This window comes from Homo sapiens, chromosome 1, assembly GCF_000001405.40.
Source record: "Homo sapiens chromosome 1, GRCh38.p14 Primary Assembly".
NCBI classification, from domain to species: Eukaryota; Metazoa; Chordata; class Mammalia; order Primates; family Hominidae; genus Homo; species Homo sapiens.
The window spans coordinates 248,161,315-248,174,219 of NC_000001.11; the positions used below are offsets into that span (position 1 = coordinate 248,161,315).

The window sequence follows — 12,905 nt, forward strand, 5'->3', positions numbered from 1 at the left end:
TAAGCTTCTGAGTACCCTTCACATTCCATCTATCCCTCCAGACACAGTACACAATCATTCCCATTGGAGAGAAACTTTAAAATGTTATAAAGTTTGACATGTCATAACTGATGCGTTATGACTTTCTCTGTCTATAAAAACAAAGAAATCAGAGCTTCACTAAATAATGCAGTATTCAAATTGAGGGTCAAGAAATCAATTTGACACATGAGGGTGGAACAGCTAAAGGCATAGGAAAAGTAACACTAAACAATTAGAAGCAAAAGAGGTGGAGATATAACATGAAAACTCACACACATAACATAAAATTGCAGGAAAATTTATAAACATTGCCTTGGATAAGATGCACCATTAAAAGACAGAGCTGCAAAAGATAGAATTTTTTTTTTTTTTTTTTTGAGACGCAGTCTCGCCCTGTTGCCCATGCTGGAGTGCACTGGTGAAATCTTGGCTCACTGCAACCTCCACCTTTTGTGTTCAAGCGATTCTCCTATGTGAAACTCCCGAGTAACAGGGACTACAGGTGCACGCCACCACGCCTGGCTAATTTTTGTATATATACGTATATATATATATATATACGTATATATACATATATACGTATATATATATATATATATACACATATATATATGTATATATATATGTATATATATATATATATTTTTTTTATAGTAGAGACGGGATTCCACCATGTTGGCCAGGCTGGTCGAACTCCTGACCTCAGGTGATCCGACTGCCTCAGCCTCCCAACACGTTGGGATTACAGGCGTGAGCCACCACGCCCATCCAAAAGATTGATTTTTAAGATGATTTACATATGCTTAAGAAAAGCTGCATAAAATTACAGAGAAATATTTTTGTTGGGCAAATTTTAAAAAGCAATTCAGACCTGCTAATTCAATATAACATGAAATAAAATGCAATGTAAAATGAAATAAAATTATCAATGAAAGATATTTCATAATGAAAAATTAGTAACAAAAAAGATACAACTATAAACTTGTAAGAACTAAGAAGTTTATTTTCAACAAAAAACCCAAAAATAGAAATGCAAGGAAATATTGATACTTCCACATTATTTTTTTAACTTTTATTTTAGTTCAGGGCACATGTGCGGGTTTGTTATATAGGTACATTTTGTGTTATGGGAGTTTGATGTAGAGATTTCATCAACCAGGTAATAAACAACGTAACTGATAGGAAGTTCTCGCTCATAAGTGGGAGGTGAACAATGAGACCACATGGACACAGGGAGGGGAACATCACACACTGGGGCCTTTCAGGCTATAGGTGGCCAGGGGAGGGATAACATTAGGAGAAATACCTAATGTAGATGGTATGCTTGTTGATGGGTGCAGCAAACCACCACGGCACGTGTATAGCTATGTAATAAATCTGCACGTTCTGCACATGTATCCCAGAACTTAAAGTACAACTGAAAAAAATAAAAAAAGAGGAATAACAAAGAAAGGCAACACATCATCTGACTTTGATTATTTTGCTATGTAAGAATTATTATTGGGATATTGGCAAAATTTTAATAGGGTCTGTAGACTAGATGGTAGTAATGTACCGATGGTAACTTCATGGTTTGGGTGGTTTTATTCGTTTCTTATGTTGGAGAAAGGTCTCTATTTGTAGCAAAGCCTCTAAGGTATTATTAACAAGTGATGGTTCAAATCTCAAATGGTTCAGAGAAGAAAAGTTTTGTGTTGTTATTGCAACTTTTGAACAACTTTGAGAATGTTTCCAAACAAGCCTTAAAACTACATATTTGAAAAAAGAGCTCATTTGCTATAAAATTAAAATTACACTTTCCATATTACAGAGATGCAGTTTATATTTTCTCCAATAGAAATTGTAAAATCGAAGACTACCAGTTGATCTGGCTTTGAAATTTCAGTAAGATGCAAAAAAATGTACTGCTAAAGATAATAAAACTATCAATTAAATTTAGTAAAGTTGCTAGATGCAAATCAATGTAATAACTACTATTTTGTTTTTATGTCAACAAATAAATAAAATAAAATTACAAAGTTACAACTACTTACGACAATGTCACAAAACATTATATACCCAAAAGATGTGCCAAGTCCCTGTTTTAGGTCCTTAAGACATAACAGAAAACAACAGAGAAAACACCAACAATTACTTTTATGTAGTTGACATCCAGAGTCAGTTTTGCTAGACGGTCAAATTAAGCAAATCAAGACACAGGACAAGAGTTACATTTGAATATCAGATAAATAACAAAGAATTTATTAGTATAAGTTTGCTAAAAAATACTGCATGGAACAGAATAATATTTCATTGTTTATCTGAAATTCAAATTTAATTGGGTACTACTTATTTTGTGGTAACAATATTCAGGTGGTAGACCAAACAATTCAAAAGTGTATCAATAGTTACTTTTGGCTAAGCATAAAGAGCATTAGAAATTTAAATATCTTCCTGCTGACAATATAAATTATTACAGTCTGCGAGAAGTGTGGAAATTTTGTAAAATTCATACATGAAAACTCTTTTTCACCATAATTCCACTTCTCATTTATTTTCTGGATAGACTTGAGCATATATCTGAAGGAAAATATGAACCCAAGAAATAGCATTGCTTTTAATTTTCCAACAAGAGAAGAAATAGAAGGCTGTAATTTATTAAAACTGAAAAAAGCACAGCTACATGTGGCTACATGTTTCAACATGGAAGAAGTCCACTGAGATTTCTGAAAGAAAGAGCATAGCTTACAAAATCGTACTTTTTACTAATAAATGCAGACATTAAAGACATAAAGAGCCCCGTGTCGTGCTGCCCCTCCTGACTAGGCCTCCGGGCCCGCCTTGGCCTCTGTCCCTTAAGTGGACGCAATTGCGGCGGCTCCAGTCCTCAGGGGACTCCAGTCCTCAGGGGGCTCCAGTCCTCAGGGGGGTGCTCCAGTCCTCAGGGGGGCGTTCCAGTCCTCAGGTGGCTCCAGTCCTCAGGGTGCTCCAGTCCTCAGGGGGCTCGAGTCCTCAGGCGGCTCCAGTACTCAGGGGGCTCCAGTCCTCAGGGGGCTCCAGTCCTCAGGGCGGCTCCAGTCCTCAGGGGGCTCCAGTCCTCAGTGTGCTCCAGTCTTCAGGCAGCTCCAGTCCTCAGGGGGCTCCAGTCCTCGGGGGGCTCCAATCCTCGGGGGGCTCCAGTCCTCAGGGCTGCTCCAGTCCTCAGGGGGCTCCAGTCTTCAGGCGGCTCCAGTCCTCAGGGTGCTCCAGTCCTCAGGGGGCTCCAGTCCTCAGGGGGCTCCATTCCTCAGGGGGCTCCAGTCTTCAGGCGGCTCCAGTCCTCAGGGTGCTCCAGTCCTCAGGGGGCTCCAGTCTTCAGGCGGCTCCAGTCCTCAGGCGGCTCCAGTCCTCAGGGGGCTCCAGTCCTCAGGGGGCTCCATTCCTCAGGGGGCTCCAGTCTTCAGGTGGCTCCAGTCCTCAGGGTGCTCCAGTCCTCAGGGGGCTCCAGTCCTCAGGGCGGCTCCATTCCTCAGGGGGTTCCAGTCTTCAGGCGGCTCCAGTCCTCAGGGTGCTCCAGTCCTCAGGGGGCTCCAGTCCTCAGGGCGGCTCCAGTCCTCAGGGGGCTCCAGTCCTCAGGGGGCTCCAGTCCTCAGGGTGGCTCCAGTCCTCAGGGGGCTCCAGTCCTCAGGCGGCTCCAGTCCTCAGGGGGCTCCAGTCTTCAGGCGGCTCCAGTCCTCAGGGGGCTCCATTCCTCAGGGGGCTCCAGTCCTCAGGGGGCTTCAGTCCTCAGGCGGCTCCAGTCCTCAGGCGGCTCCAGTCCTCAGGGGGGCTCCAGTCTTCAAGGGTATCCAGTCCTCAGGGGGGCTCCAGTCTTCAGGCGGCTCCAGTCCTCAGGGGGCTCCAGTCCTCAGGGTGCTCCAGTCCTCAGGGGTATCCAGTCCTCAGGGGGGCTCCAGTCCTCATGGGGCTTCAGTTCTTAGGCGGCTCCAGTCCTCAGGGGGCTCCAGTCCTCAGGGGGCTCCAGTCCTCAGGCGGCTCCAGTCCTCAGGGGGCTCCAGTCCTCAGGAGGGCGCTCCAGCACCCGTGACTCGCCAGGCTCCGTCTGAGACCCGTGCTAGGCTCGCTCTGTCCCTGCGTTCCCTCGCCTCTCTCTCCAGTTGTTTTTCCCATTCTCACACCAGCACTGCACCAAGGTGAGAGGAGCCCCGCTGGAAAGGAAACATTCGGACTCCGGTTTCAGCACCTCCTCCAGAAGCACAGGATGTGCGACCTTCAGCCTTTGTGCCCACCTCCGAGCCACCAGCTCCGCAGAAGTAGCTGGGAATGGAACTGTACTCCTCCAGAGACGTCTCCTCCAGGCTCACCACGGAGCAAATTCTGTGCAGCATAAGAGAATAAACGCATGCGGAAGAGAAGGCGTTTCAGAAGCCAGTTTCCAAACGACAGATCCATTGTACTTCTCTGATGCACGTCACAAGCATTTCTCCTCAAAGGACTTCATCTATAACATCCTCACCATTAAATAAAGACAGGGCTTGTGTACTCTAGGGCAGGATGAGTAGGTCTGTGAACGTTTTCTGAAAAAATGTGATGAGAAAATTCGAGAAGAGCATGAAGAAATCGAACACAAAACTGGCAGAACAGGATGATGCATTTGTGAAGTTCACGCTTGGTGAAATAATGTGACGCTCTGGCGCTGGCTAATACGTTTCATGACTCACACATTCTGCATTTGCCGCTGCCTTATTCCTTGCTGACTTATTGCAAAGGGTCCCAATTTTGACATGACACAATGCCAGGATCCCTCGGTAAATACAGGTTTCCGCACGCTCTTGTCAATGGCACCCACTCTTAGGCCCTAGCAACTGGTTTTGGAAATTTCCCCGATGTCAGCACCACTTGAATGTAGACTTTGCTACCTGTATTCATACAGTTTGGCTCCTTATTTTAATATGTTTGAAAAGAATTAAAGGGGGTATTCTAGAACATGTCCTTCACTAGTTGTGTAATAAAACTAGAATGACAATGCAGAGGAAGTTAGCGTGATTTTAATCGTATGCTACAACCAAGCTGTAACCAGTTATTAATAATTTAGAATGTAATCCCAGGACAAACCGAAGCAAATAGCCTACAGTGCTTCTTCAGAAATAGTGAAGGAAGAAGCCATTTCTGTATTCCAGGAGTTCTTGGGCATTCAGAATGGGTTTATGATTTTTTAATAGTTTTATTTATCAGTCTTTTTTTTTTTTCATTTAGTAAGTTTCTTTTTTTTTTTTTTAATTATACTTTAAGTTTTAGGGTACATGTACACATTGTGCAGGTTACTTACATATGTATACATGTGCCATGCTGGTGCGCTGCACCCACTAACTCGTCATCTAGCATTAGGTATATCTCCCAATGCTACCCCTCCCCCTCCCCCCACCCCACCACAGTCCCCAGAGTGTGATATTCCCCTTCCTGTGACCATGTGATCTCATTGTTCAATTCCCACCTATGAGTGAGAATATGCGGTGTTTGGTTTTTTGTTCTTGCGATAGTTTACTGAGAATGATGGTTTCCAATTTCATCCATGTCCCTACAAAGGACATGAACTCATCATTTTTTATGGTTGCATAGTATTCCATGGTGTATATATGCCACATTTTCTTAATCCAGTCTATCATTGTTGGACATTTGGGTTGGTTCCAAGTCTTTGCTATTGTGAATAATGCCGCAATAAACATACGTGTGCATGTGTCTTTATAGCAGCATGATTTATAGTCATTTGGGTATATACCCAGTAATGGGATGGCTGGGTCAAATGGTATTTCTAGTTCTAGATCCCTGAGGAATGGCCACACTGACTTCCACAATGGTTGAACTAGTTTACAGTCCCACCAACAGTGTAAAAGTGTTCCTATTTCTCCACATCCTCTCCAGCACCTGTTGTTTCCTGACTTTTTAATGATTGCCATTCTAACTGGTGTGAGATGGTATCTCATAGTGGTTTTGATTTGCATTTCTCTGATGGCCAGTGATGATGAGCATTTTTTCATGTATTTTTTGGCTGCATAAATGTCTTCTTTTGAGAAGTGTCTGTTCATGTCCTTTGCCCACTTTTTGATGGGGTTGTTTGTTTTTTTCTTGTAAATTTGTTTGAGTTCATTGTAGATTCTGGATATTAGCCCTTTGTCAGATGAGTAGGTTGCGAAAATTTTCTCCCATGTTGTAGGTTGCCTGTTCACTCTGATGGTAGTTTCTTTTGCTGTGCAGAAGCTCTTTAGTTTAATTAGATCCCATTTGTCAATTTTGGCTTCTGTTGCCATTGCTTTTGGTGTTTTGGACATGAAGTCCTTGCCCACGCCTATGTCCTGAATGGTAATGCCTAGGTTTTCTTCTAGGGTTTTTATGGTTTTAGGTCTAACGTTTAAATCTTTAATCCATCTTGAATTGATTTTTGTATAAGGTGTAAGGAAGGGATCCAGTTTCAGCTTTCTACATATGGCTTGCCAGTTTTCCCAGCACCATTTATTAAATAGGGAATCCTTTCCCCATTGCTTGTTTTTCTCAGGTTTGTCAAAGATCAGATAGTTGTAGATATGCGGCGTTATTTCTGAGGGCTCTGTTCTGTTCCATTGATCTATATCTATGTTTTGGTACCAGTACCATGCTGTTTTGGTTACTGTAGCCTTGTAGTATAGTTTGAAGTCAGGTAGTGTGATGCCTCCAGCTTTGTTCTTTTGGCTTAGGATGGACTTGGCGATGCAGGCTCTTTTTTGGTTCCATATGAACTTTAAAGTAGTTTTTTCCAATTCTGTGAAGAAAGTCATTGGTAGCTTGATGGGGATGGCATTGAATCTGTAAATTACCTTGGGCAGTATGGCCATTTTCACGATATTGATTCTTCCTACCCATGAGCATGGAATGTTCTTCCATTTGTTTGTATCCTCTTTTATTTCCTTGAGCAGTGGTTTGTAGTTCTCCTTGAAGAGGTCCTTCACGTCCCTTGTAAGTTGGATTCCTAGGTATTTTATTCTCTTTGAAGCAATTGTGAATGGGAGTTCACTCATGATTTGGCTCTCTGTTTGTCTGTTGTTGGTGTATAAGAATGCTTGTGATTTTTGTACATTGATTTTGTATCCTGAGACTTTGCTGAAGTTGCTTATCAGCTTAAGGAGATTTTGGGCTGAGACGATGGGGTTTTCTAGATAAACAGTCATGTCGTCTGCAAACAGGGACAATTTGACTTCCTCTTTTCCTAATTGAATACCCTTTATTTCCTTCTCCTGCCTGATTGCCCTGGCCTGAACTTCCAACACTACGTTGAATAGGAGTGGTGAGAGAGGGCATCCCTGTCTTGTGCCAGTTTTCAAAGGGAATGCTTCCAGTTTTTGCCCATTCAGTATGATATTGGCTGTGGGTTTGTCATAGATAGCTCTTATTATTTTGAAATACGTCCCATCAATACCTAATTTATTGAGAGTTTTTAGCATGAAGGGTTGTTGAATTTTGTCAAAGGCTTTTTATGCATCTATTGAGATAATCATGTGGTTTTTGTCTTTGGCTCTGTTTATATGCTGGATTACATTTATTGATTTGCGTATATTGAACCAGCCTTGCATCCCAGGGATGAAGCCCACTTGATCATGGTGGATAAGCTTTTTGATGTGCTGCTGGATTCGGTTTGCCAGTATTTTATTGAGGATTTTTGCATCAATGTTCATCAAGGATATTGGTCTAAAATTCTCTTTTTTGGTTGTGTCTCTGCCTGGCTTTGGTATCAGAATGATGCTGGCCTCATAAGATGAGTTAGGGAGGATTCCCTCTTTTTCTATTGATTGGAATAGTTTCAGAAGGAATGGTACCAGTTCCTCCTTGTACCTCTGGTAGAATTCGGCTGTGAATCCTTCTGGTCCTGGACTCTTTTTGGTTGGTAAGCTATTGATTATTGCCACAATTTCAGAGCCTGTTATTGGTCTATTCAGAGATTCAACTTCTTCCTGGTTTAGTCTTGGGAGAGTGTATGTGTCAAGGAATGTATCCATTTCTTCTAGATTTTCTAGTTTATTTGCGTAGAGGTGTTTGTAGTATTCTCTGATGGTAGTTTGTATTTCTGTGGGATCGGTGGTGATATTCCCTTTATCATTTTTTATTGTGTCTATTTGATTCTCCTCTCTTTTTTTCTTTATTAGTCTTGCTAGCGGTCTATCAATTTTGTTGATCCTTTCAAAAAACCAGCTCCTGGATTCGTTAATTTTTTGAAGGGTTTTTTGTGTCTCTATTTCCTTCAGTTCTGCTCTGATTTTAGTTATTTCTTGCCTTCTGCTAGCTTTTGAATGTGTTTGCTCTTGCTTTTCTAGTTCTTTTAATTGTGATGTTAGGGTGTCAATTTTGGATCTTTCCTGCTTTCTCTTGTGGGCATTTAGTGCTATAAATTTCCCTCTACACACTGCTTTGAATGCGTCCCAGAGATTCTGGTATGTTGTGTCTTTGTTCTCGTTGGTTTCAAAGAACATCTTTATTTCTGCCTTCATTTCGTTATGTACCCAGTAGTCATTCAGGAGCAGGTTGTTCAGTTTCCATGTAGTTGAGTGGCTTTGAGTGAGATTCTTAATCCTGAGTTCTAGTTTGATTGCACTGTGGTCTGAGAGATAGTTTGTTATAATTTCTGTTCTTTTACATTTGCTGAGGAGAGCTTTACTTCCAAGTATGTGGTCAATTTTGGAATAGGTGTGGTGTGGTGCTGAAAAAAATGTATATTCTGTTGATTTGGGGTGGAGAGTTCTGTAGATGTCTATTAGGTCCGCTTGGTGCAGAGCTGAGTTCAATTCCTGGGTATCCTTGTTGACTTTCTGTCTCGTTGATCTGTCTAATGTTGACAGTGGGGTGTTAAAGTCTCCCATTATTAATGTGTGGGAGTCTAAGTCTCTTTGTAGGTCACTCAGGACTTGCTTTATGAATCTGGGTGCTCCTGTATTCGGTGCATATATATTTAGGATAGTTAGCTCCTCTTGTTGAATTGATCCCTTTACCATTATGTAATGGCCTTCTTTGTCTCTTTTGATCTTTGTTGGTTTAAAGTCTGTTTTATCAGAGACTAGGATTGCAACCCCTGCCTTTTTTTGTTTTCCATTTGCTTGGTAGATCTTCCTCCATCCTTTTATTTTGAGCCTATGTGTGTCTCTGCATGTGAGATGGGTTTCCTGAATACAGCACACTGATGGGTCTTGACTCTTTATCCAACTTGCCAGTCTGTGTCTTTTAATTGGAGAATTTAGTCCATTTACATTTAAAGTTAATATTGTTATGTGTGAATTTGATCCTGTCATTATGATGTTAGCTGGTGATTTTGCTCGTTAGTTGATGCAGTTTCTTCCTAGTCTCAATGGTCTTTACATTTTGGCATGATTTTGCAGCGGCTGGTACCGGTTGTTCCTTTCCATGTTTAGCGCTTCCTTCAGGAGCTCTTTTAGGGCAGGCCTGGTGGTGACAAAATCTCTCAGCATTTGCTTGTCTGTAAAGTATTTTATTTCTCCTTCACTTATGAAGCTTAGTTTGGCTGGATATGAAATTCTGGGTTGAAAATTCTTTTCTTTAAGAATGTTGAATATTGACCCCCACTCTCTTCTGGCTTGTAGGGTTTCTGCCGAGAGATCCGCTGTTAATCTGATGGGCTTCCCTTTGAGGGTAACCCGACCTTTCTCTCTGGCTGCCCTTAACATTTTTTCCTTCATTTCGACTTTGGTGAATCTGACAATTATGTGTCTTGGAGTTGGTCTTCTCAAGGATTATCTTTGTGGCGTTCTCTGTATTTCCTGAATCTGAACGTTGGCCTGCCTTGCTAGATTGGGGAAGTTCTCCTGGATAATATACTGCAGAGTGTTTTCCAACTTGGTTCCATTCTCCACATCACTTTCAGGTACACCAATCAGACGTTGATTTGGTCTTTTCACATAGTCCCATATTTCTTGGAGGCTTTGCTCATTTCTTTTTATTCTTTTTTCTCTAAACTTCCCTTCTCGCTTCATTTCATTCATTTCATCTTCCATTGCTGATACCCTTTCTTCCAGTTGATTGCATCGGCTCCTGAGGCTTCTGCATTCTTAACGTAGTTCTCGAGCCTTGGTTTTCAGCTCCATCAGCTCCTTTAAGCACTTCTCTGTATTGGTTATTCTAGTTATACATTCTTCTAAATTTTTTTCAAAGTTTTCAACTTCTTTGCCTTTGGTTTGAATGTCCTCCCGTAGCTCAGAGTAATTTGATCGTCTGAAACCTTCTTCTCTCAGCTCGTCAAAGTCATTCTCCATCCAGGTTTGTTCCGTTGCTGGTGAGGAACTGCGTTCCTTTGGAGGAGGAGAAGCTCTCTGCTTTTTAGAGTTTCCAGTTTTTCTGTTCTGTTTTTTCCCCATCTTTGTGGTTTTATCTACTTTTGGTCTTTGATGATGGTGATGTACAGATGGGTTTTCGGTGTGGATGTCCTTTCTGTTTGTTAGTTTTCCTTCTAACAGACAGGACCCTCAGCTGCAGGTCTGTTGGAATACCCTGCCGTGTGAGGTGTCAGTGTGCCCCTGCTGGGGGGTGCCTCCCAGTTAGGCTGCTCAGGGGTCAGGGGTCAGGGACCCACTTGAGGAGGCAGTCTGCCCTTTCTCAGATCTCCAGCTGCGTGCTGGGAGAACCACTGCTCTCTTCAAAGCTGTCAGACAGGGACATTTAAGTCTGCAGAGGTTACTGCTGTCTTTTTGTTTGTCTGTGCCCTGCCCCCAGAGGTGGAGCCTACAGAGGCAGGCAGGCCTCCTTGAGCTGTGGTGGGCTCCACCCAGTTCGAGCTTCCCGGCTGCTTTGTTTACCTAAGCAAGCCTGGGCAATGGCGGGCGCCCCTCCCCCAGCCTCGCTGCTGCCTTGCAGTTTGATCTCAGACTGCTGTGCTAGCAATCAGCGAGATTCCGTGGGCGTAGGACCCTCTGAGCCAGGTGTGGGATATAGTCTCGTGGTGCGCCGTTTTTTAAGCCGGTCTGAAAAGCGCAGTATTCGGGTGGGAGTGACCCGATTTTCCAGGTGTGTCCGTCACCCCTTTCTTTGACTCGGAAAGGGAACTCCTGACCCCTTGCGCTTCCCAGGTGAGGCAATGCCTCGCCCTGCTTTGGTTCGCGCACGGTGCGCTCACCCACTGTCCTGCGCCCACTGTCTGGCACTCCCTAGTGAGATGAACCCGGTACCTCAGATGGAAATGCAGAAATCACCTGTCTTCTGCGTTGCTCACGCTGGGGGCTGTAGACCGGAGCTGTTCCTATTTGGCCATCTTGGCTCCTCCCCCCTTTATCAGTCTTTTAAACAAATGTTTGTTGCTGTATTTTTTCCAGCATATTATTGTTTTACCTCTTTTGTACTACTGGAATTTAATTGAAAGAATAAAACATTTGCTTCAAAAAATAAAAAAAGAAGTGAGACTATTTAACAAAAAATACAGGCTTTTGTTATCTCTGGAGGCATAGAAAAAAGGACATACATTCAGGGTATGTGCACACAGACTTCTATTAATCTCTAATGTTTTATTTACTATTTTATTTTTTTCACATATTTTATATTTTATTTTTGAAATGGAGTCTTGCTCTGTCACCTAGGCTAGGGTGCAGTGGTGTGATCTCAGTTCACTGCAACCTCCACCTTCCTAGTTCAAGCAATTCTCCTCCTTTAGCCTCCCAAGTAGCTGGGATTAAAGGACTGTGCCACCATGCCCTACTAATTTTTGTATTTTCAGTTGAGATGGGGTTTCACCATATTGGCCAGGCTGGTCTCGAACTCCTGGCCTCAAGTGATCTGCCCGCCTTGGTCTCCCAAAGTGCTGGGATTGCAGGTGTGAGCCACCGTGTGCGGACTGTAATATTTTATTTTAAGTTGGGGATGGGTACATTGGTGTTTAATTTGTTTTATACGTTATCTTCCACTGAAATATTTCTGAAGATACAAAATAACTATCATTGTAATTCAGGCTATGAACAATTTAAGGAAAACAATACAATTAACTCAGTAAAAGCAGGGCATCATTTAATACAATTCAGTGAACATTCGTTGAACAAAGCATTGGTAAAAGAAATAAAACGAGATTTTGCTAACGTGGTGAATATATCTACCAAACCTCAGACTAACACTATGAGTAATGGTGAACTATATTGCTAAAGACTTCAGGTACTCAAGAATATTGTTCTTCAACATTTTAAGTATATATGTATATATTAATCAAATGATGTAAGAAAAAATAGATAAAATTGGAAAGAGATATAGGCTTGTTTCATCTATTGTATATAATATTTTTCCCTGCAATAAGGAATACAAAAATAAAAGTTAGCATTCTTAGATTCAAGGTCTACAAGCAACAATTAATAGATTTCTAAATGTTAACAAACGAAATAGAAGAAGTAATACAGGCTGGGTTTGGTGGCTCAGGCCTGTAATCCCAGCACTTTGCGAGGCCGAGGTGGGCGGATTGCCTGAGCTCAGGAGTTCAAGACCAGCCTGGGCAACATGGTGAAACCCCATCTCTACTAAAATACAAAAAATTAGCCAGGCGTGGTCACGTGTGCCTGTAGTCCCAACTACTCGGGAGACTGAGGCAGGAGAATTGCTTGAACCCCGGAGGCGGAGGTTGCAGTGAGCCCGGATCATGCCACTGCACTCCAGCCTGGGTGATAGAGCTAGACTCCGTCTCAAAAAAAAAAAAAAAAAAAAAAGTAATAGAAACAATATTCCACACACTAGAGCAAGAAAATATAAAATACCCATGAACATTTGTATTTTATAATAATATCCTTTGCAGAAAATATATTCCGTAGTTTTAAGGGATAGAAAACATATTAAAGAACAAATAAATAGAATCTCTATTGATGTTCTCTACAGAATTATATAGAGAACATCAAGATGTTAAAAATGCCAATTCCACCCAAGCA

The 12,905-nt window shown here is 42.1% G+C and overlaps 1 pseudogene, besides 2 other annotated features; it reads left to right on the plus strand.

Annotated features, from left to right (window-relative positions):
* On the plus strand, positions 4,285-11,385 carry LOC100216488 (akirin 2 pseudogene; annotated as a pseudogene).
* Positions 10,369-10,931: an enhancer, noted in NCBI's record as "OCT4-NANOG-H3K27ac-H3K4me1 hESC enhancer chr1:248334985-248335547 (GRCh37/hg19 assembly coordinates)". NCBI's record gives its function as "activates a minimal SCP1, AML or CMV promoter by ChIP-STARR-seq in naive H9 embryonic stem cells {active_cell/tissue: H9 hESC(naive)}" and the evidence as "EXISTENCE:reporter gene assay evidence [ECO:0000049][PMID:30033119]".
* Positions 10,932-11,493: an enhancer, noted in NCBI's record as "OCT4-NANOG-H3K27ac-H3K4me1 hESC enhancer chr1:248335548-248336109 (GRCh37/hg19 assembly coordinates)". NCBI's record gives its function as "activates a minimal SCP1, AML or CMV promoter by ChIP-STARR-seq in naive H9 embryonic stem cells {active_cell/tissue: H9 hESC(naive)}" and the evidence as "EXISTENCE:reporter gene assay evidence [ECO:0000049][PMID:30033119]".